General features: G+C 36.0%; 2 long non-coding RNA genes and 1 pseudogene across 3 annotated transcripts in view; 1 reads left to right on the top strand and 2 right to left on the bottom strand.

The window, feature by feature from the left end:
- LOC105374699 (uncharacterized) overlaps positions 1 to 3,485 on the top strand; it is a 56,997-nt gene extending 53,512 nt beyond the window's left edge. For both annotated transcript variants that reach the window (XR_925880.3, XR_925879.3), the window contains 2 exons: positions 1,009 to 1,120; positions 3,399 to 3,485. This is a non-coding gene — a long non-coding RNA (uncharacterized LOC105374699). The remainder of the gene's footprint in view (positions 1 to 1,008; positions 1,121 to 3,398) is intronic.
- A 13,054-nt stretch (positions 3,486 to 16,539) lies between these two features.
- On the bottom strand, positions 16,540 to 24,519 carry LOC101929645 (uncharacterized). The gene is made up of 4 exons (NR_109948.1): positions 24,146 to 24,519; positions 23,801 to 23,924; positions 19,507 to 23,489; positions 16,540 to 16,863 (listed from the first exon to the last, which is right to left on the bottom strand). It is a non-coding gene; the product is annotated as an uncharacterized LOC101929645 (long non-coding RNA).
- Positions 19,153 to 19,267, bottom strand: LOC124900206 (uncharacterized; annotated as a pseudogene).
- Positions 24,520 to 25,144: the final 625 nt, after the last annotated feature.

Genomic DNA, 25,144 nt, shown 5'->3' with positions numbered 1-25,144 from the left:
ATTCTAGAATTAGGGTAGGAAATACACAAGATGAGCATGGAAGATCTTGTGGCCAAAGTAAGAAAATGCTGAGGGAAAGAGGAAGTAGAAAGAGGAGGGGGAGGAGGTAAAGAACAAAAAGGAAGAAGGAGGTAATGACAATGGCACATTGATGGGTTATGGACAGCAAAGGGAGACAGGACCTGAAAGGCCTCTCGATAAGCAACGATGGAAAATTTGAACATCAAAATAAATAAAGTAGTATCAGATTAGAACTCAAAGTATAAAATAAATATCTATTGGTCCATCCTGATATAAATAAATGACTGAATAAATAAATGGGGGAGCTTTTGGGGGAGGAGAAAAATATGTACAGAATAATTACAAATATTCACATAGATTTTGGACTCACAAAAAAGGTAGAGAAAGAGGGCAAGTAACTTTTCAGAGGAGAAAGCTGGCAACCATTACTTCAGCTAGGTATCAGGTCAACATCAACAGTTGTAATTCATGTTGACAGTGTATACCCTTGATATTCTATAATGGATATGGCACTTTATTTTTGTTGTCTTTCTCCCTATAATCTATAACTCTGGTTTAATAATGAGAAAAAAAGACAAATTATAATCTAGCTGCAGTTGATAAACTAATTTACCCTTGTTTCTCGGTCAGAATCATCAAAATAATAAAAGTCTGAGAAAATGTCACAGACAAGTGACGCCTAAGGAGACCTCATGCTGAAATGTAACATGATATCCTGAGTAGGATCTTGGAACTGAAAAAGTGTTTTACATACAAATTAAGAAAATTTGAATAAAATATAAACTTTTATTAATACTAATTTACCAACATTGGTTTATTAACAGTAACAAACCTGCCATACTAACAAGCTATGTTAAAAACAAAAGACACTGGGTGCCAGGTGTATGGGACCCTCTTTACTATCTTCTCAGTTTTTCTGTAAATCTTAAATTTTTTCTAAAAATAATAATTTATTAGAAAAAAATGAGTGTATTTTTACATTTACAGGAATGAGTTAATGAGTGTGGAAAGTCTGACAATAGGGAAGGAAAAGCAGAGAATATTCAAGAAAGCAAGCCACTGGAAGAGATGGTAGGGAAGGCAGAGATAAGAAAATGAGGTAAACAATAACTGAATTTGGCAAGGATAAAAGTCTATTCTTCAAAGAAATAAAGGAGTCATGTGGACTCCGAGAGAGAAGTGTAAAAATGCACTGGATATACATAAAATGTTCACTCTACTCATTTCTTTTTATTGATGTGTGTGAGGACTTCTGACTGGGTTGGGGGTAAATCAGAGCTTTTTTTATTATTTTTATTTTTATTTTTAGAGGGAGTCTCACTGTGTCACCCAGGCTGGAGTGCAGTGGTTTGATCTCGGCTCACTGCAACCTCCAATTCCCAGGTTCATGAGATTGTCCTGCCTTAGCCTCCTGAGTAGCTGTGGTTACAGGCATGTGCCACCAAGCCCAGCTAATTTTTGTATTTTTAGTAGAGACAGGGTTTCACCATGCTGGTCAGGCTGACCTCGAACTCCTGACCTCATGATCCACCCGCCTCAGCCTCCCAAAGTGCTGGGATAACAAGCGTAAGCCACCGCACCTGGCCAAAATCAGAGCTTTATAAATAGGTAAAAATCTATGTAGAAAAAGGAAAAAAAGACATTATGTAAACTTACAAAGAAAAAGGAAAAAAAAAGACATTATGTAGTTTTAAATAAGTAGCTAAATTTGGAAGAACAAAAGATTTTGCTGATAAGGTTAGGATATTTGAAGATATCATGACTATGAATTGGCTGCCCAAAATTCTGGCATAAATATTATTTAGAGAAAGTTTTCAAACCTGGAGATCAATATTTAGAGATTTTAAAGACTGTGTTAATTTAACTAAATTGAATTTGCAAGCATATGCCCCAAAGAGTTTTATAATTTAATAAAATAGTTCAATGGATAGTGCTAGGTTGTAGAAAATTAAAGTTGAGTAGCAAAAAAGAAAAAAAAATAAGAACAAAAGGCTAAAAGAGCAAAACGATCTTTGTCTTAAAGGACTTTGTAATGGAAAGTCATGCAATTAAGCACATATATTTAAAATCCCCACACACCCCTTCAATAGAAAACGCAAATATATGAAACAAACAAAAATTGTAACTACAAACCACAAGGGAAGATCATATTGCCATGTGGACTTAAAAAAAAAAAAAAAAAAAACAAAGACAACCAATTCTGTTTGGTTGGATTAAGAAAGCATTTTTGGAGAAGAAAGTATTTTAAATTAATGTTTAAATATGAATAGTCTTTAAAAAGATATGGAATTGGAGGCCGGGTGCAGTGGCTCACACCTGTAATCCCAGCACTTTGGGAGGCCAAGGCAGGCAAATCACCTGAGGTCGGGAGTTCGAGACCAGCCTGAACAACATGGAGAAACCCAGTCTCTACTAAAAATGCAAAATTATCTGGGGGTGGTGGCGCATGTCTGTAATCCCAGCTACTCGGGAGGCTGAGGCAGGAGAATTGCTTGAATCTGGGAGGTGGAGGTTGTGGTGAGCCGAAATCGGGTCATTGCACTCTAGCCTGGGCAACAAGAGCAAAACTCCGTCTCAAAAAAAAAAAAAAAGATGTGGAATTAAGGTACATATTTTTAATCTATTGAAACTAGGGGAGACATATTTGGAAAAAAGTAACCAATTAACAAAATCTAGACTGGCTAGACTGAGTGTAGAATAATCAAGGGTCAGGGAAAAGGAGGGAGATTAATAAGTTGGTTTGTGTGAGAAAGAAATCATTAAATAATGATTTGAATAGCTGCTGGGTACAGAAACAAGGGAAGAGATGAGAGAAATATTGTGGATTGATCTAACATGACTCAGGCCAAATTAGTATACAAGAAAAAAATAAGGAAGACTAAATGATGACTTTGATTTGTAATTTAATTGTGAAATAATTGTCTTTAGGCTATTACATACGCATTTCAGAACAAGAGTGATAAATATAGCCTTGTCTTAGAACACTCACACATCAGTTTAATCAGCACCATGTTAGCTGTGTAAAAATGTCACTCATATAGAAGTATAACTCTGCATCAGATTGTGAATGTTTATAAAATTTTACCATCTAAAAGTTTATTAAAAAATAGCAAATATCAATTTAAAACAAAAAGTCAAGATGATGTTCTTTTGTATCTTTTCTTGGTATTCTGAAATATTTTCAAATTAACTGATATTTAAAAAATTATAACAAATTAAAAATCTTTAAGATACTTATGCAAAATTCTGCTCTACATTAGTTGGTACTGGAAATTGCTCAGAAGCACCGCATGTTGATGAATTGCCAACACCTTTCAATTAATTAAATCACTATATTTGGCTCTGTCTCTGGTGGGTTTACTGCTTATCCCAAGCAGGTGTTGATGGATTAGGACATTCCTCTCTGGCTGATTCCTGATTAAATTTGGACAAAGGACCTGACAGCTGTCATGTCTCTGTTTCCCATAACTCTTCCCTCAAATCAGAAAGCACAGAGTCTGCTACATGAGAAAAGTGTGGAGAGCCATCTTGTGCAGGTAATTCTTAAGTTGGCTAGAAGCATGAAAATGCATTGTTTTAAGGTTTATTTATATAGAACAAGAGCAGAAACTTTAGAAAGCCTTATTTAGTGCAATTAAAAGTAAAGATATGATATTCATTTTTTATTATCCTGATTCTTTCATTCCATTAACAGGACAAAATGTTCTTATAGTCTCAGGATTCTCACCTTCAAGGAAAATATGCTTGAGGGCAAATACATAACTAATATTCACTCATGAATTATGACTCGGCTGCACTGCTTTCTAAGGTTTTTGTCCAGAGAACGTTGAAGAAGATAGGTTAGAACTCAGATCATCATCAAAAGAGAAAATTTTGATTTGTTCTCTCCTTCTAGTCTTCTAATAATTTAGAATAATGTTTCTGTGAAGGAAAATTATTTTAGAATAAAGTTTTTTTTATAATCTTTACATCCCCTCAGATCCATTTCTTATTTTTTAATGAGCAAGCATGAAACAAGTTATCACTAAATTTATAAATAATACCTCCCATATTTGTATCTGCTAATTGCTTTTGTTTTCTGGAAGCTGGTAGCATACTTCCTTTTGCAGCAAAAAGAATATGTCTGTTCATCCGCCCCCTCCCTCCTATTTCCTCTGCCCAGAGAAATACACAGTAGAGGTGCCTATGAAACAAGTGATGCAAATTGCCTTCTGCATATGTTCTTCCTTTCCTTGGTTTCACTGGACCTCATTTATCTCCTGCATTCTCTCTCGCTCTGTCTGTCTGTCTCTTCACTGAAAAAGCAATGAAGGTCACTGTGCAAGTACACCTAATTACATCATCCGAGGCCATAAAGAACTGAGTGTGGACTTTGGTTAAAATACTTAAAATACCTGCACACTTAGTACATGAAATCTGGCTTCTCCACAAGCTGCAAAAGTGACCAGGTAATGCTCTCTGGTATGTTTTGGCATGGTTGGGGTGGTGTTGAACTCCTTCTGGAGAAACTCTACCAACAGGATCAGGAAGGGAAATACCAGATTTTTTTTCTCTGTGTTTCCTACAGAGGACAATTTGGAGACACAGTATTTTTGTATAGCCTCTTGGAAGACAGCTACATGGTAGAGAGAGCACTCTTGTGCAGCAACTAGCTAAAACTCTCCACAAATTACAATGAAGCCCTAGCAAGTGCATTTGACTTCCATCTTCCCCACCTCGGTCTCTGCCTCCCTCATTGTCTATGTTCTGCAAATGCCCTACTGAAGAAATCAGTTACACTTAAGCCTTGCCTTGGCTTAATTTTCAAGGAAACTGGATTTAAGACACAAGGGCAGAGAAGCTTAGTTTCTCATCTAAGACAATTCTTTCACAAAATTGTGCTATGGAACATGTAAGAGAATTACCTACTCTAGTGTGAAAATCAGAGAAAGCTCCTTTGAGGAGGTGACAGATGAAGCAACATCTGAAGCATGATACTCAATATTATTTAATATATATACACCTGAGTAATTATGTGTTATATCTTTAAAACCAGAGAAGATGTGGACACAATTATGATTTGATTTTACTTTGATAACAAGTTATATATTTTATAAGTTTTTTCACCTAAAAGAATAAAGAAAAAATATTAGAGAGCATACCAGATAGATTATATGTATCATCTAGCACAAAGATTATAAAATCAGAGCAACCTTGATTAAAATTTCTGGATTCTCCAGTTTGTTAAATTCTCTGAAACTTTTTTAGGTTTTGTGATTGTGGGAAAATAATATTTAAATAAAATAATTTTATAGGGTCAAATTAAATTAGAAGTAAGTCAGAATATAGCAAATGGATAAATACTACAAATATTATTTTTGTCCATTCTCTTACATGGATGATCATGCTCTTCTTATATGATTATGAAAATTCTCCCCCATTAGTCACTTTTGAGCTTAGAAGACCTCTTATTTTTAAGGATTTGTTTAATCCATTCTGCAAATATTTTTGAATAACTACTATGCATGTGACACAACAGCAAACCAAACAAATAGAAATTCTTTTTCCTTTTGGCTCTTATGTTCTGGAAAACAGATCATTTATTGCTCTGTTAATGTCTTCCAAACCACTAGATTAATTTTCCCCAGCCTAAAATGTGCTCTATTACCATCCATAAACAAAACAAAAACAACCCATGTCTCCATTCTCCTCTAACCATCTAATATAAATTTGTTTTAAAGCCAAGTTTCTAGAGTCTGCAAATGTTAGTCATTTTTCTGATCTTCCATTAACTCCTCAACTTACTATAGTAGAACTTCTACCCTCTACGTTTCTAATAAAACTGTTTTCCCAGTTAACAAATTACCATTTATTTATTTATTTATTTATTTATTTATTTATTTATTCATTTTTTTGAGATGGAGTCTCACTATGTTGCCCAGGCTGGAGTGCAGTAGTGCAATCTCAGCTCACGGCAACCTCTGCCTCCTGGGTTCCAGCAATTCTCCTGCTTCGCCCTCCTGAGTAGCTGGGATTACAGGCACGCACACTACACCCAGCTAATTTTTGTATTTTTAGTAGAGATGAAATTTCACCATATTGACCAGGCTGGTTTCGAACTCCTAACCTTGGGATCCGCCCTCCTCAGCCTCCCAAAGTGCTAGGATTACAGGCGTGAGCCACCATGCCTGGCCATTTCCTCTTATTTTTAAAATATAATAAATTCCTTTCAGTTCCTGTCTCACTTGACCTTGCTGCACTATTAAATCTGTGGTCCATTAATTTATTCTTCAAAATGGCCTTTCTTAGTTTCTGTAACATTATTCCCTACTAGGTTTTTCTCAGTTCCCCTGGCATTCAAGCTAAATATTGAATTTCAATTTCTTTGACTTAGTCTATTTTGTTAAAAAGAGTGTTCCTGCCCCAGGCCCTCTTATCTTATTCAATGTATTAGTCTTGCTTCTGGAACTTGCCTTGTCCCCTGCACACCAACAGCCCTTTGCTGCACTTACATTACTCCATGCATATCTCAATCACTTTATATTCAGTTTTTTGTATTCGCAGTTTCCTCTTTCCAAATTTAGTGCCACTGCACTGTCAGCTTCTATAGTCAAGAACAGGATTTTTATCAAGTTAGCATTTTTAAATCCTAACATAGTTTTAAACATATTCTAAGAACTCAAGAAGTGATTTTAAATATAATCTTATTTAAAATGTGTTTCATGAGTGATTATTACCCATTCCCATGGTTTACACCTCCTACAACTTCTATTCTGATGGTTCTAACATTTATATTTTAGGCTTTTTATTAGAGAAGCCTCTTGGCATTAACTACAAAGGGCTCAGAGTTATCATTACAAAATGAGCTCAAATCTTGGCAATTTTCTTGCCTAAAATTTTTTATCATCTCTTCATCTTTCACAGGATATAACCTGAACTTCTCAGCGGAGAATATATGTTATTTATTTTCTGAAGAAAATTACCTCTGAACACAAATTACATGCAATTCCTGTTGGTTAATGTAATAGTCATTTTGATGCATCAACTTGTCTAGGCTAAAATTCTCAGTTATTCAATCTAATACTAATTTAGGTGTTGCTTTGAAGGTATACTTTGTACATGTGATTACATTCCATAATCAGATAATCATAATCCATTTATTTAAGAAATATTATCCTAGATAGTCTGGATGAACCTGATTCAGTCAGCGAAAAGGTCTTAAAAGGAGAGTTAGGACTTCCCTAGTGAAGAGGAAATTCTGCCTATGGGCAACAGCTTCGACCTATTTCTAGAAGATCAAGCAAGCTCTTCCTCATGGCCAGCTCCCACAATTATGTAATCATTTCTTGCAATAAATACCTTAGTATACTTCTCTTGATAGACCTAGAGAAACTTGACAGACACAGACTTTGGTACTGAGAGTAGTTTTGTGTGAGTGTGTGTGTGTGTGTGTGTGTGTGTGTTGTTTGTTTGTTTGTTTTTTGAGATGGAGTCTCCCTCTGTCGCCAGGCTGGAGTGCAGTGGTGCAGTCTCTGCTCACTGCAACCTCTGCCTTCTGGGTTCAAGTGATTATCCTGCTTCAGCCTCCAGAACAGCTGGGATAACAGGCGCCCGCCACCACGCCGGGCTAATTTTTCTTTTTTTTTTTCTGTATTTTTAGTAGAGACAGGATTTCACCATGTGGGCCAGGATGGTCTCGATCTCCTGACCTCGTGATCTGCCCACCTCGGCCTCCCAAAGTGCTGGGATTACAGGCGTGAGCCACTGCACCCGGCCAAGGGTTGTTCTAAATGAAGAAAATGTTAAGGATGAGGTTTGAATTGGCTCTGTGTGAGAACTGGTTTTTCTGATTAGATTTGAAGGCACTAATGATCCTGATTTTAATGGGAAAGAGAAAGTTTGTATGGTGTTTTGTGGCAACAGCGATACCCAAAATATTCTTAAAAGTATCCATTGGCTACACTTAGCCAAATACTTATGAGGTGATGGGTGGCCCCATATTTGGTGCCTTGAGAAAATTTTTGTCAAACTAGTGAAACTAGTGAGTATAGTAGACTGCCTTTTTTTTTTTTTTTTTTTTTTTTTGACAACGTCTCACTCTGTCACCCAGGCTGGAAGGGTGGAGTGCAGTGGTGCAATCACAACTCACTGCAGCCTCCACCTCCCAGGTTCAAGCGATCCTCTGACCTCAGCCACTTAGGTGGCTGGGACTAGAGGCATGCAACGCCATGACTGGATAATTGTTTATATTTTTGTTGAGACAGAGTTTTACCATGTTGCCCAGGCTGGTCTTGGTCTTGACCTCCTGGGCTTAAGTGATCTGCCTGCCTCAGCCTCCCAAAATGTTAGGATTACAGGCATGAGTCATCACATCCAGCCTGATGGTTGTTCCTAATTCAGCTGGACAAAGTTGAAAAAGAAAACAAGGAGCTGAGGGACTAAAATTCCTAGCTCAACCCCCATATATATGACATAGAAGCTATTTCGGCCCTGACAGAAACTCATATCCTATAACCAGAGGGCTAAGATTTCTGAAAACTAAACCTAGAATCTAATTCTCTAGCGGCTGAATCACAATATAATTTCTATTTTCAACATGGCAGGGTGTCTTCTGTTAAAGCGAGTGTATTGATTGAGAAGGACAGGATATCACAAATTGGAATTGAAACATAGGGGCAGGTCCTAATGAGCCTGGGTTATTGCACCTTCATATTCTGATAAGTCTTTTTTGCCTACAGATGCAACCCCTCCACCCTTGCCAGGGGAAGTTAGTCCTTGATTGCCTGATAAATCTCTAATGGCCTTTTCTGAGGTAGTTGCCTTAGAAGGCACTGCTGATTCTCCTCAGCACCCACCCTGTATCAGTCTGTTTTCAAACTGCTATAAAGAACTACCTGAGACTGGGTGAGTTATAAAGAAAAGAGGTTTAATTGACTCACAGTTCTGCATGGCTAGGGAGGCCTCAGGAAATTTACAATCATGGTGGAAGACAAAGGAAAAGCAAGCCACGTTTTACATGGCGACAGGACAGAGAGAGCAAAGGGGAAAGTGTCACACTTAGAAACCATCAGATCTCATGAGAATTCACTCACTATAAGAAGATGTTGCAGGGGAGGGGAATCCACCCCCATGATCCAGTCACCTCCCACCAGTTCCCTCCCTAGACACATGGGGATTCCAATTCAATATGAGATTTGGATGTGGACACAGAGGCAAACCATATCACACTCCATCATACCTCTTTGCTTTGAGACCTATAACTACACTCAAGTCTAGGCAGTCTCCAAAGAACAAGGTATACTACACACTGACAGGATTACATGATTTTGCCAAATTATACAGACAGAATCTGGAGAATATATCTAGAAATAGATTTTAAGAATGGGGGATTAATGTGGACCGAATTTAAAGTAGATTCAACCTAAATTTATTAATATGGGTTCCCAATAATGGACCCCATATTAATAAATTTTGTAAGTTGAAGAATTAGAAGGGCTCTAACCATTTGGGTTGTTGTCTGTTACATGGGCACAAGGTGAGTGATATTGTTCGGATATTTAATCCCTTCCATATCTGATGTTAAAATTTGATCCCCAATGTTGGAGGTGGGACCTAAAATGAGGAATTTAAGTCATGGAAGCGAATTCCTCATGAATGGCTTGGTGCCATCCTCAAGGTAATGAGTGAATTCTTGCTCTATTAACTCATGCAAGTGTCCCCACCCCCACGAGAGCTGGTTGTTGAATATAGCTTGCCACCTCCCTCCTCTCTCTTTTCCTTCTTTTATCACCATAGGGTCCTGTGATGCCGCCACTCCTCCACCTTCCACCAGGAGGGGGAGCTTCTAGAAACCCTCACCCAAAGCAGATGCTGACACTATGCTTCTTGTACAGCCCACAGAACTTTGTGCCAAATAAGTCTATTTTCTTTATAAATTACCCAGCCTCAGCCACAGGTATCCCTTTCTAGCAACACAAAGAAAATGGTCAACTCTAAGTTAAAAAATTAAAATTGTCTTTGTATTCTGTAAAAGAATGTAACCAAAGGCTTAGGGAAATGAAATGTTACAACGGATATATCAATTAAGACTTGCTTCTCTTTGGAGGAGTCCCCAGGACACTTTTCACCAAGGCAGTCAGTATTAAATTCATGAGAGAAGCTCCCAAATTTTTTGAAGCATTCTGTTTCTAATCTCCTTTGTAAGTGGGAAGTTACAGTGAGAACTGCTGGGTTCCCACTGAGCTAAAATCCCCAGTTGTAACGGGAATAATAGAATCGCAGGGTGTTAGCATCAAATGGTGGCACTTAATCACCAAAGATGCAGTGGGTGCTGTTACCATGATGGACATCAGAACCAAAAGAGTAATCAGGATCGTTTGACCCATAAAGAGACCTGTAGCAATGGTTGTTTGATGTTACTGTTCCTAGAAAATAGACAGATACTATAATGAATTCTTCACTAGTTTGCATAATCCGAATTCTAGGTCTAGTGAACAAAAGACTGATTTGAGTCCTCAAAACAAATTTAGAGTGGTAATCTCTCCCAGCCTCTCCAAACTAACTCACAGCCTTTGAGTGGGGTGACTGTGCATTGGGGAAAGGGAAATGATCAGACTTTTTATTGATTACTGAACACTAGTTCTCAGCTGATAACTAATTCCTGGAGACATTACTATGGTTCAGTATTCAGAATAAAGGTTTATGAAAGTCAGGTGATTAATGGAGTTTTAGATTATGTCCCCAAACCCATCACATGATTATTTTCCCAGTGTCAGAATGCATAATTGAAATAAACATACTCAGCAACTGGCAGAAGCACCACTTTCATTCCCAGACTTGTACAGAGGGCTACTATGGTGGGAAATGTTGTGTGGGAACTCCCAGAATTATCTCTGCCTAAAACAAACAAACAAACAAAAAACAGTAAGTGAAAAGCAACACCACATTCTGAATGGATTATAGAAACTAGTGCATTAAGGACTTGAAAGATGCAGAGGTGGTTATTCCCACAATATTTTCAACTTACCTATTTAACTTGCCTATTTGGCCTGTGCAGAAAAGAAATTGATCCTGGAGAATGACAGTGAATTATTGTGAATTTACTCAGGTGACTCTAAGTGTAGCTTCTGTTCCAGATGTAGAATTTGTTGTTTGGACAACATGTCCCCAGTTACTGACATACAACTATTCATCTTGCAAATGCTTTTCTTTTCTTTCTATCTCTTGGTAAATACCACAAGACGCTGTGTTTTTTGTTTTTTTTTTTTTTTTTTTTGGTTGTTGTTGTTGCTTGTTTGTTTGTTTTTTAAGGTGGCGAGACCAACCCCCCAAGGGGATATAAACTCTACAGCCCTTTGTAATAATTTAGTCTGCAGAGACCTTGATCATTTTTCCCTTCCAGAGGACTTAATATGGATCCTTTTCATTGATGGTATTATACTGATTGGACTTGGTAAGCAGAAAATAGCAACTACCTCTAGACATATTTGTATGAAGCTTGTATGTCAGAAGGTGAGAAATAAATCCTACAAAAATTGAGGGGAATTTTACCTCACCAAAATTTGTTGGGGTTCAGTAGTGGGGACAATGTTGCGATATTCCTTTTAATGCAAATGATAGGTTGTTCCCTCTGGTCCCTCCTAACACACATACACACACACACATACACTCTCTCTCTCACACACACACACACACGAGGGAAAAAATGCCTAGTAATTCCCTTTGAACTCTAGAGACAATATATTCCTCATTTGAATGTTTTACTCTGCTCTGTTTATTGCATAACCCCTAAAAGCAAACTTTGAGTGAGGCTTAGACAAAGAGACGGCTCTGCAAAAGGCTCAGGCTGTCATTAAAAATGCTTTAAAACTTGGGTTGTAAGATCCAGCAGATCCAGTGATACTTGAAATGTTCGTGGAAGACACTAATACTGTTTAGAGCTTCTGGTAGGCCACAATAGTTGAATCACCATGAAGGACCTTAGAATTTGGGGAAAAAAGTCTTGTCATCTTATGCAGAAAACTGCTCTCCATTTGAGAAACGGTTTTTGGCTTGCTGCTGGGCCTCAGTGGAGATGGAAGCCTGAGTCGCTCATCATGAATAGGGTGTGGTCTGGTGAGTCAAGCCATAAATATGAGCATGCACAGCAACACAGCATTATCAAATCAAAGTGATATACATGAGGTAGGGCCCAAGCTGGCCCCGAAGGAAGAAATAGGATGCGTGTACAAGTAGAAAATTCACCCATGTCCCCTTCCTCTCTTGCACTGTTTTCTCTTCCAGCCCATACCTATTGCTTCATTAGGAATTTCCTATGACCAGTTGACAAAGGAAGAGGAGACTTGAGCCTGGTTTATACTTGGTCCTATGTGACATGCTGGCACTCCTGAAAGTGTACAGCTGAAGCACTACAGCCCCTTTCTGGGATATCCCTGAAGGACACTGATGAAGGGAAAGCCTTCCAGTGAGCAGAAACACCTTATATGACTCTGGGGAAATCTGTAATACCATCTATATAAGTAAAATTTATAAAATAAAATCAAAATGTAACATAAAAATATAAACCCATTGCACTTACATTTGGGGAAGATGATTTGAGATGACACCCACAGCATTTAAAACAACATAGGTTACCTTGTAAGCATGTAATATCTTATAATATTTGCTATTATCGTCTCTTATTATTGCTTGAGATAATCTTAATATTAAATCTTAATATTAAGTAAGATTCTTGATTCTTCTTAAATAATACAGTTAAAAATCTGTAGTTTTAGAAGTACTTAAATATTAAGAGAAGAAGCTTGTGAATTGGTAGATGGTACCAACCACTTAAATTTCACACTGAGGGCTGCTAGGCTGGAGCAGTTTTCCAGATGTTAGCCAAACATATATGGTTCATAAAATTGAATACTACATTTGAATGAGCAATTCAGCATTACATAAGTTCATTTAAAAAGCTTTAATATGCAGTCTAATTTTGAAAGATGGAATATCTATACTAAGTGAGTCACCAACTTTTTTTTTCATTTTGGGTGCACCAAACATATCTATAGCACCATAAAGTGTTATACAAAAAGAAGAGAAAAATAAATACAAAATTGAAATGCCTAGCAGTTTGAATTAAATCAACAAAGGATAACTTAAAACTGACATCCTTTTAAAATACCATTATAAAACAAGAATTCATAACAGGAGTTAGAAATGTCAACTGCAAAGAATGAATTTCTTTGCTCTTGTCAATATAACAAAAGGCCTAAAATATTGTTTTGAGTACATTCAATCTTTTGGTATTTAAAAATATCTCAATGGATGGAAAATTACTATTTTCCTAATTTAAAAGCATATTATACATATATTCCTTATGCTCTCAATTTATTGATAACCCACGGGCATTTTGCATATCTCTGTAGATTTTTGACAGGTATTGTTAACAGTTGAAATAATCTGCTGGGGTGTGAGAGACTTAAAAAAGTTTTCTTTTCTCTAAAAAAAAGACATGTGGAAAGAATATGTTCTCTTCTCCTATGGCCTTAGATTTTCCCATATGAAGAATGAATTATTAAGAGCCAACCTGTGAAGAATGGCAGAGGAGAATAATTGATATAATCTATCTGTAGTAGTCCATTCTCACACTGCTATAAAAATACTACCTGAGATGGGTAATTTATAAAGGAAAGAGGTTTAATTGACTCACAGTTCTGCATAACTGGGGAGGCCTCAGAAAACTTTAATCATGGAGGAAGGCAATGGGAAAGCAAGGACCTTTTTAACATGGTGGCAGGAGAGAGGAGTGAAGAGCGAAGGGTGAAGAGCCCCTTATAAAACCATCAGATTTCATGAGAACTCACTCACTATCAGAAGAACAGGATAGGGGAAAATGGCTCCATGGTCCAATCACCTCCCACCAGGTCTCTCCCTAGACACTTGGAAATTATGGGGATTACAATTCAAGATGAGATTTGGGTGGGGACACTGCCAAACCATATCACCCTTCCTTGAGGATGTTGATGATTTCTTGATGATCTTTATGAAGTTTTAGTTAAGTAGCCATAAAATTGCTCCCTTCTTAAATCTTCCTGTTAATTGAAATAATAAATTTACCTTATTTTAAAACACTTCTTGTCATTTTTTATTTCTTGTTACATGATATAAAGCATCCTAAATGACATATACTCCAAGAGACATCCGAGTCTGGATGCTAAAACTCATCTCCAAGCTGCTATTATTCTTGGTTTTTGGAACTTATGGTCATCCATAGCTACAACCTGAAGCCAGAATTGTACCAGCATCTGAGATATGCACAGAAGATATTCTGGGACACTGGCCAGCAAACTTAGGGGGGATTGGGCAAGAAAAATAGGACACAATTTTGTGTGGGTGTCCATAATACCAAACTTTGTGAAGCTTACTATAATTTGGTGGCTGGATTTTCTAGGATTTTGATTTCAGAAACATTCTAATAGAGATCTTTAAGGCCAAGTTGATAATTCTTGCTTATTTTAATATTTTGATGCTCTGGGAAGGAAGTGAATTTATGACTGGGCAAAGCTAACTCTGTTCTTTAGAAAACAATGTTATACTTAGCCTGAGCATACACACATTTTGGTTTTCTAGTTACAGAGAAATATATAACCTATAATAGGTGTATGTTGCAAATGCATTTTAATATAATTTGGTGTAAGATCTTGGCTATTGGCTCTACTGACCTTTTGTCTCAGGTATAATATTCTGGGGCAATGTTTATTGAATCTCAAAACTACTGTCATTTTAAATCCCCTTATCAGATGTTTACATATTTGATTTATTTCCAGGATATAAAAATTCAATTAAATTTTGTACATTAACTTTGTATTATGTAAAGTTTAAATTTACTCGGTTCTAGTAATTGTTTATTTGATTTAGGAAATTTTTTTATCTGCTTTTCTGACACCTAAAACTACTAAAAAAAGACTTTGAGGAAAATTTTATTTTCTTTGCCTGAATGCTACTATTTCTTTATATTTGATATTCAATATAGCTTCACAAGGCTAGGTCTTATGATCAATCTTATAAAGGAGCATTTTTCCCCTGAAAATTGATTGTTCAAGCTACAGATAATGTGTCCCTTTATTTTTTCCTCAGTTCTTTCATTCACTGTACTGATCACTTTTTCCTCATCATTCATGCTTTTTTTGTTTGTTTTTTTCCAAGACCGAGTTTCACTTTTGCCACCCAGGCTGGAGTGCAGTGGCACAATCTCAGCTTCTCAGATCACTGCAACATCCGCCCCCCCGGGTTTAAGCAATTCTCCTGCCTCAGCCTCCCTAGTAGCTGGGATTACAGGCGCCCACTACCACGCCCGGAAAATTTTTGTATTTTTAGTGGAGACGGGTTTTCACCATGTTGGCCAGGCTGTTCTCAAACTCTTAACCCAAGGTGATCTGCCTGCCTCGACTTCCCAAAGTGCTGGGATTACAGGCGTGAGCCACCGCGCCCGGCCTCATGTATTTTATTATATATATTTCTGGTTTCATTGTAAGAAAACCAAATAATAATAGACCAATTTTAGAGGAAAGTATAACTAAATAATTATGTTTTTCTTTATGGTAGAGTTTTCATTAAAAAAGAAATTAAAGGATTCATGTGGAATTAAAATTAATTCACCTAATTAGGTACTGTGTCTTAAATTTGTTCTCTATGCCGATTAAATAAAAGCTATGTAATATGTTTCAGAGAACTAAACAAAAATCCTATTTTTAAAACATTTAGGGTGAAGTAAAATATTCAAGAAAATTATCTACCACCATATCATTTCCTTTATCATGAGTGGTATAAATTTTGTTGCCTTGTGTTATGAAATGTACTATTGTCTGGACCACATCAAATAATTTTTTGACATATACCGTCTTTACCAATATGAAATATTAACGTATATCTTGTGTAGATCTCAACATTTCTTAACATATTTAAGATAATTATGGGAAGTCAAAAAACATGAATAATAATGTTGCACAAATTTTAACTTTTTTGATAATTTCAGATCTGGCTAAATTTATATTTAACTTGTTGAGTTTTTTTTTTATTTCTCCCAACCAAACTTTTTTATTATATACAATAAAAATTCAGTATAAATTTTTACATTTGTGACAACTCAGTGTTTTTCAGCTGCAGTATATTATAAAACTGAGTCAAATTCAAAGTGCTTCTGTCAGTTTCTAAATCTAGAACACAACACGAAGCTTTGTTTCATCCATAATACCTCCAGGAATTGTTTCGGTTTCCTTGAAAGTAATAATGTCTTCTTTCTTTTTTCTTGAATATCTTTTTTCAAAGTATACAATTCTATTGTCTTTAGTATGCCACTTTTCTGACAAATTATATAAAGTTAGCGTGTTTTCTTTTTATAGATTGAATCACTTTCTTGACATATTTTTATGCACAGATAGTCCTACTCCATTTTGTAATTGTGAAATAATAATATAAATAGGTTTTTTAATGCTCTTTTTCTGATTTATGTTGGCAGTATTTTTTTTCCTAAAATTCAAAAAGTGTATAATGTTCTAAATTTCATTGGTCTTTATTATTTTCCCTCTTCTGATTTTGTATCTCATATGACAGTACCAAACAATATGTCCAAATCCTTCCATCTCTGCTGAAATTAATACAACCTTTCCATAATCTTTTTTGAATTCTGCATCATGTTTAACATTAAAGGCAATGTCATTGTCAAGTTCCCGTATCATCTTTCAATTTGTACAAATTATTCTATGGTCTTCTACATTATATGAGTTTGTTGGTACTCCCAATATCCATGTAGTTAAATATTTGTTTTTGGTTTTGGGGGGTGCTTCAGCAAAAATTGTTCAACAAACTTGCATTATTGTCCTGTGGAGAAATAAGTTCTGTTTATGTATTGCACAGCATAGTGACTATAGTTAATAATTTTAGTTAAATTATAGTTAACTATACTATAATACTAAATTATATTTATAGTTACTGAATATATTATAGTGTATTTCAAAATAATTAAAGTGGGTTTTTAATGCCCTGACTACAAACAAATGACAACTATGTGAAGTGATGTACATGTTAGTTAGCCTGATTAGATTATTTCACCATACTTACATGTATCAAATCAATACATTGTGCCCCATAAATATATACAACTATTGTCAATTTAAAATAAAATAAAATAAATAGTAAACATCTAATTTTATTAAAATTCACTGCAGCTTTTTTGACACTTTAAGATGAAACCATATAATTTATTGGTACATGCATATACAAGTAAAATATTTGTGTGTATTTTATATGTGTCTATAGAAAAAGAAAGAGAGACAGAGAGACAGAGGGTTCCTATTAACTTACAGAAATCAGTAAGCTTTTTCTAAAGAAGAAATACATGTAAGAATTAGAATTAGAATTTCTAAATTTCAAATAAAGATGAAAAGATAAAAGATTTCAAGATGAGTCCACATAACTTTATGTGGAGATATATAATATTTTGTCTTATTTGAAAATGACATATTTTGTGCTTATTTAAATTTGTTACTTTTTTATGGAGCTAAGCAATTTTATTCATATTTATGTTTATGTTCATTTTTATTTATGCCACAAGTATAGTAGTTTTGCTTCTTTCTGTGCTAGTCATTTTACTAATCATTCCAAATATGTCACTTAATTTTCTTTTCTAATTTTTTAAATTCATTTTCTCATCTATACACACATATTCCGTCTTCCTTTGCATGACTTTGGACACATTTCTTCAAAAAATCTTGGAATTATTCATGACAAATATCTCAAATTAAATGTTTAATCTATGAACAAACCCTTAAATAGTTAACAGTATGTCTCAAAGCCAAAATCCATAGAATAGCCTACACTTATGCTACATAGATGATGCCACATATTTGCCCTTCCGCCCCTGTTCTTACAACTCTGATCTTGCCTTCTCTCATTTGAGACACCTTTGCTACTGCTCTTCATCTACATTGACTTCCTCATTGTCTCTGGAATACATCAAATAGCTCCTGCCTTAGGGCCTTTACACTTACTATTGTTTCTCATGGAATTGCTTATGTCTAGAAACCAATTGACTGATTGTTAAATACCACATTTTTTAGATGTATTGGATCCCTTTAAAATTATACCTTCTCTGCAAGTTTTTCCTTTTCCTCATTTTCATATTTTTTTTTCTCTTTGGCATTTATACACTCGTATATTATGTATATTTGTGTAATTGTATGGGCTTGATACTTACTTGTATTCTGTGAGACAATAAGTTTTACCATGCTGAAAGTAGTTTGCATATATGATAGAGGAAATGAGGCTAAATTTATTTTAGGTGTTATGTAAAGGCCTAAGGCCATTAAAATTATATTCTAGTTATATGTTAATATCCAATAACCAAAAAAAATACAAAAAATGAACGGTTTCAAAACATGATATTTTTGAGTGAGCACACTTACAAAGTGATTCAAATCAGACTTCTGAATAATGAGGGCAAGCTGAAAATAAGCATCTAATTCATCGTCCTCCCCAAACAATTGACACTAGAATCAGAAATACATTTATCATGAAGCTAGTTAATCTTAAACTTTAGGGCATATAAATTGCATGAACTGCTTTCAAGATTCTGTATGAAATTTCCTATTTTATTTCTATTTTATTTATTTATTTATTTATTTTTATTTAAAGTCAATAAATTTTTATTCGAGGAATTCTATGTTGTGATTCTTCCACTGTCCATTAAGGTCACTTTAGATCCTCTAAAGAGCTGGAGTTAAAATTTATCTTCAAAAGATTTATCTTCAAGTTAGCCCTTTTTAATGAAACTGATACTTATTTTATTCCAGTTGTCCTGTCAGCCCATAATTCTTTTATTTTGGCTTCTGTCATCTCCTTTGAATATGGATATACGGATGAAGACTTAAAAATTCACCAAGAATCTTTGAGATCTAATTTCTTCAACCAATTTACTTTAGGGTCATTTTTAGTGTTGGTAGATACACCTGGTTCTCAATTTGACATCCTCTCTAAACATGAATGAGTTCAAGTCATATTCATTCTTAAGCGAGCTCACTCAAGAATAGTACAGACGTGTGGAATATGCCAATACTTAAGGTAAAAAAGGTCTTTCATACATTTAGCAACTGTCTTTTTCATACTTTTAACAACTGTCTTGTAGTTCTTTCCCACATATTTAACCATAGTCCTGTGGGTAAAATAAAACCACAGAGTTACTCTATGAGGCATTTCCAATCTATTCTTTTTTAAAATGGACCTCCTCCACAAACTGTATAATCTTAACGTATCACAAAACTAGAGTTGCTTTTGAGAGTAAAATAAATGTTGATCTTTAAGACAAATTTCTTATCTTCAAGGAATGATTGTTTAAAAAATAATGAAATGTTGAACAATGAAAAGTAAATAAATTAGTAGTGAAATAAGCTATAAAATGGAAATTCTAAATTGGCAGTGGGGAAGATTAATAATCAAGTGTATATATTTATAATACAGAATACTTACAAGATTCATGAATTAAAAGCGTCTGATACCTCTGAAAGTAGTGATAACCCAGGGGTCACAAAATTAGGATAGTCACTTAAAACCTATTCAAGAATGAGCAGCATCCTGAGTTTCTTCCTCCACTGCATTCAGCCACATGTCTAACAGTCCCTCAAACAGAGAGAAGAATGCCAATTTGTTCTCTGGAGATGATAAAGAATAGGACTTATTAATGAGGGGAATTCAGACACTTTTGTAGGCAGAGGTAACAGGCCAAAAGCAGAAATCTTCATTATGCATGCAAACTGAAAGCCAATGCCCATCTTTATTTTCACCCTGTCCTCTACTATCAAACAAAGACCTTTCGGGAATAGTTCCCAGAGAAACTGACCAGCCCAAAATGAAATACTGAAGAGACTGTCAGTGAGGCCCCTCCTTAATGCACCATTCCTATGAACAGATTACGCATAAACCTATACATTGTTTCCAAAAAGAAAACAGTGTAGAAAACCCTTAATGAGATCATGAAAATAGGTCAGGACTAAAGAACATTTCCTAATTCAGGGTCCACTGAGGCCCTAAACCTGGGCAAGAATATAGACTTTTTCTAGGGCAGGAAGTAAAGAAAGTTTAGCACACTGGAGAGAAAAAGAATAACCTGCAATTTGAGAGAATGAAGGAGGAAAGTACAGACAGAGAGAGAGAGAGAGAAAAAATATGGATCACATAAAAAGATAAATAAAAATAACCTTATATTCTTCATGAGGTTTCTGCCCCTGCAGCTAATTTCTGGCTTGATATCCAGGAATTTCCATAGATCCTCTGAAATCTAGGTGGAGGTTCCCAAACCTCAATTCTTGTCTTCTGTGCACCCACAGGTCTAACCCCACATGTAAGCCACCAAGGCTTGAGGCTTGCATCCTTTGAAGCAACGGCCTGAGCTGTACATTGGCCCCTTTTAGCCATGGCTGGAGCTGAAGCAGCTGGGATGCAGGGCACAATATCTCTAAGCTGCATAGAGCAGGGAGCCCTGGGCCTGGCCCACACAGAGTAGGATAAACAGAAACAGAATCTCTGCTAGGGCAGTGCAGAAGGAAAATGTAGGGTCAGAGTCCCCACACAGACTCCTCACTGGGGCACTGCCTAGCGGAGCTGTGATAAGAGGGTCACCATCCTTCAGACCCCAGCATGGGAGATCCACCGATGGCTTGCACTGTACACCCGGAAAATCAGCACACACTCAATGCCAGTCTGTGAAAGCGGCCAGGAAGGGGGTTGTACCCTGCAAAGCCACAGAGGTGGAGCTGTCCAAGGCCATGGGAGCCCACCTCTTGCATCAATGTGAGCAGGATATGAGACATAGAGTCAAAGGAGGTCATTTTGGAGCTTTAAGATTTGAATGCCTGCTGGATGTCAGATTTGCATGGGGCTTGTAGCCCCTTTGTTTTGACCAATCACTCCCATTTGAAATGGCTGTATTTACCCAATGCCTGTATCCCTATTGTATCTAGGAAATAATTAACTTGCTTTCAATTTTACAGGCTCATTGGCAGAAGGGACTTGCCTTGTCTCAGAATGGACTTTGGACTATGAACTTTTTAGTTAATGCTGAAATGAATTAAGACTTTGGGAGACTCTTGGGAAGGCATGATTGTGTTTTGAAATGTGAGGACATGAGATTTAGGAGGGGCCAGGGGCAGAATGGTATGGTTTCACTGTGTCCTAACTGAAATCTCATCTTGAACTGAGGTTCCCGTAATTCCCACGTGTCCTGGGAGGGACTCAGTGGAAGATAATTGAATCACTGGGGCAGTTACTCCCATGCTGCTGTTATTATGATAGTGAGTGAGTTCTCAGGAGATCTGATGGTTTTATAAGGGACTTTTCCCTCTTTGTTTGGCATTTCTCCTTCCTGCTGCCATGTGAAAAATAACATGTTTGCTTCCCCTTCTGCCATGATTGTAAGTTTCCTGAGGCCTCCCCAGCCCTACAGAACTGTGATTCAATTTAACCTCTTTTCTTTATAAATTACGGAGTCACAGGCAGTTCAATGTTTCATAGCATTGTGAGAATGGACTAATACACTAGGGTAAACCAGTGAATGCAACAAAATTTCCAAAATAATTAAACATAATTGCAAAGAGCTATAAATCAAGATAGTGTCTGTTTTAGTCCATTTTATGCTGCTATAACAGAAAACCTGAGACTGAGCAATTTATAATGAGCAGAAATCCATTTCTCACAGTCCTGGAGACTGGGAATTCCAGAATTGAGGGGCTGGCATCTGGTGAATAATTTATTGCTGCCTCATAACACATTGGAGGTATCAGATCATGAAAGGGCAAAGAGAGGGAAAGAGAGGGGAAGAGGAGACAGAGAGAGAGAGAGAGATTGCAGAACTTCCCGTCTTATAACTAACCTACCCCTGCAATAATGACATTGATTCATTCACTCTGCCCTCACAGTCTAATCACCCTTCATTAGGATCTACCTCCCAACACTGCTGTATTAGGAATTAAGTCTCCAGCACATGCTTTTTGAAGATCATATTCAAACCACAGAAGTGTTCTACTTTTTCTTAGGTGGCTGTCTTTTGTTATAAAAGACATCTTTGCTTGAAACATTTTTCTTCAAGTAAGATAAGCATTATGTGTGGAAAACTTATATTTCTGATCAGTAGACTATGTTTTACAGCAGTGTCAGGAAGTTCTAAATTATGTCTTTAAAATATACAAATAATTTTTAATGCAGAGAAGTGTACTGAAGGTTCACTGTTACTTGTTATTGTTTTGCTTCTGAATTATTTTCTCTAATTTGATGTTAGTTACTTTACTTCCATGAAGACTTCTTTTACTGAACTCAAGCAGTTCAAAATTGTTACAATATGCAGTCATAACTCCCAATAATTAGGCATTAATACTTTTTTCTGATTTCACAGTGAATTACATCTTAGTTGTAAACTAGTTCTTATAAATAATACTTATATCACATAGCTATGAATTCTCAAGAGTGTATTGTTTTATTATTAGTTATTACCAAAATGCTGCTATAACAGAAAACCTGAGACTAATTTTTAATGAGCAGAAATACATTTCTCACAGTCCAGAGGTTTTGTTGCATTTGTGTGTGTGTATGTGTGTGTGTGTGTGTGTGTGTGTGTGTATGTGATTTTTTGAGTTTGGATTTAATAACTCAAGGGGAAGAAATTTTGGCTTCTACCTTTGTAGTTTGCCTCAAATTGGCTGACACGGGCTTTTACCAACTGCCCCTGTGTGCCTCAAGGTCAAGGTAATTGAAACTCAAATTTACCCTATTTGCAAATATTCTTAACGAAAAAGCCAGATATAGAATTTTTATTTTCACTTAGTTTTGGTATTTAAATATTTCTAACTATATCAGTATTTAATCAATTCCATTAAGAACATTTTTTTCAAAATGTTTAATTGTACATTTTTGATATTTTTCTCTTGTTTTCCCAGTAAGATTCTCAATAAAGCTACTTAGTCTGCTTGCTGAGAAGAAACCTCATATGTTTAAAAACTACACTTACACATTTTAAAAATATTATTTTTAGACATACGGCTCTAGCATAATCTTTACTCCATATTAGTAACATTTTAAATGTACTTATTAAATGCTTATTTTGCGTTATAATGGAAGGAAGCACTTTGTTTCTTACTACTCTTGAATGTTCATCCACGAATAAATAATAAATATCTTTTTCTTACACTTTCCCACCAAAATTGTAGAAATATTTTCATATTGATGTTATTTTGATGCTCACCATGATCCATGTCTCCCAGATTTCATGCTTGGGGCAGTCCTGTCACACTTTCACAGTGAGCCTATTCATATGACTGGTTTTGGTCAATGGGACATTAGAGAGCGTCACAGGAGAAAATAAGAGATCTTACTTGAGGTATTGTCCTGTGAAACTGTTTTTTCTTTGGGATTCAACTGCCATATTATAAGAAAAATAGAGCTATCACATCAAGAGATATCACCTGCAGAAAACAGAGACTTGTGGTCAGTTGCCACAGCTGAGCTCCCAACTAACAATTATCATCACTTGCCATTTAAGTGAGTGAACCTTTATGAAAGTATAATTTCCAGCCCAAATCAAGCTATGCTAGGTGAGGCTAAGTAGCACAAATGAACTAGTCTCGCTAAGTTCAGTCCAACCCATAAAACCCTAAGCCATTAAGTTTTAGGATGAGTTTGTTATATTGCAATAAATAGCTAATAATGTTACTGTTAAATGTAGAATATAGCCTGTGAAAATGAATTGATGTGTATTATTAAAGATAAAAAATACCTTAAGCAACTATGAATAGTTTTTAAATAAACGAACATAGATATTTCTATTAAAGGTCATGGGCTCTTCTGAAGTTTGCTTTCTTAAACCATTCACGTAACTTTTTAAGTTTGATTTCCTTTATCTGTAAAATGAAAAATAATACTACTAAAAATTAACTTGCATGGAAATTGTAGCTATTAAGTGGAACAATATATGTGAAAATAAACCAATGTCAATCTTAGATGGATAAAAGTTCATAAATAATTGCTATTAGTATTATTGGTCTGTTATTACCTCCAGAAAATGTAACTTTTGAGTGTTAAATATATTCCCTTCTCTTTATAGGTTTTCTCAGTTCCATACCATAGAAATTCTTTAATGCAGGCAACCCTCAAAGATACTGCAGGTTCAGTTCCAGACCAACACAATAAAACAAATATTGCAATAAAGCAACTTGTTGCAGAGAGTTAGACAGGCCATGAGTAGGGGAGGAGAGGGCTCTCTCCCCAACCCACCAGGACCCTAAGGTGATTATTGGAGGATGATTTGACAGTTATCGCGTTGCCTCTCTAAAAATGATAATTTGGCTGTCACTGCCAGGGAGCGACAATCTCCTGATGGTCCACAGCTGTCACGTTAAAGTGTTAATTGAAGGAAGATACCAGGAAGAAGTAACTCCCGGGGCATCAACATTAAAAGACAAAATGGAGGAGTATGACCTTTCAGGGGCACTCCACTGGAAAAAAAAGGGAAGAAAGCCTCAGATGGACATGCGTAGAACTTCCTAAGCACACTGCGCATGCTCACTTCCCAAGTGTAAGGAGGGCACTGCATTTGTGGGCAGCCCAACTTAAGGGAAGATTCATGGGAAAGGGGCACAAGACGCCAGAGGTGGGCTGCTCTATAAAGTCCTAGGATCAAGGTAAAATGCTGCATTTGACCTTCTCAGTGCCCACTTGGGTCTCCTCCAAGTGTACTTTCCTTTCTTTACTGCTCTAAAGCTTTTTAATATACTTCCACTCCTGCTCTGAAACTTGCCTCGGTCTCTTTTTTCTGCCTTACATCCTTCAGTCAAACTCTTCTGAGGAGGCAAGAACTGAGGTCGCTGCAGATCCATACAGATTCACCACCAGTAACTCGGATCCCTTCTGCCATTCACAAAGTCACACAAACCTTTTTGTTTCCCAGTGAATATACTAGTTATATTAACACTAAACTGTAGCTTATTAGCTTATTAAATATACAGTAGCATTGTGTCTAAAACAACTAAGTGTGTAATATTATTGTGTCTAAAAACAATATACATAATTTGATTAAAAATACTTTATTACTAAAAATTGCTAATATTTATCTTAGCCTTCA

Source organism: Homo sapiens, chromosome 5 (assembly GCF_000001405.40).
Source record: "Homo sapiens chromosome 5, GRCh38.p14 Primary Assembly".
Classification (NCBI taxonomy): domain Eukaryota; kingdom Metazoa; phylum Chordata; class Mammalia; order Primates; family Hominidae; genus Homo; species Homo sapiens.
The sequence above is the reverse complement of the archived record's forward strand: the minus strand, read 5'-3'. Positions and strand labels throughout refer to the sequence as shown.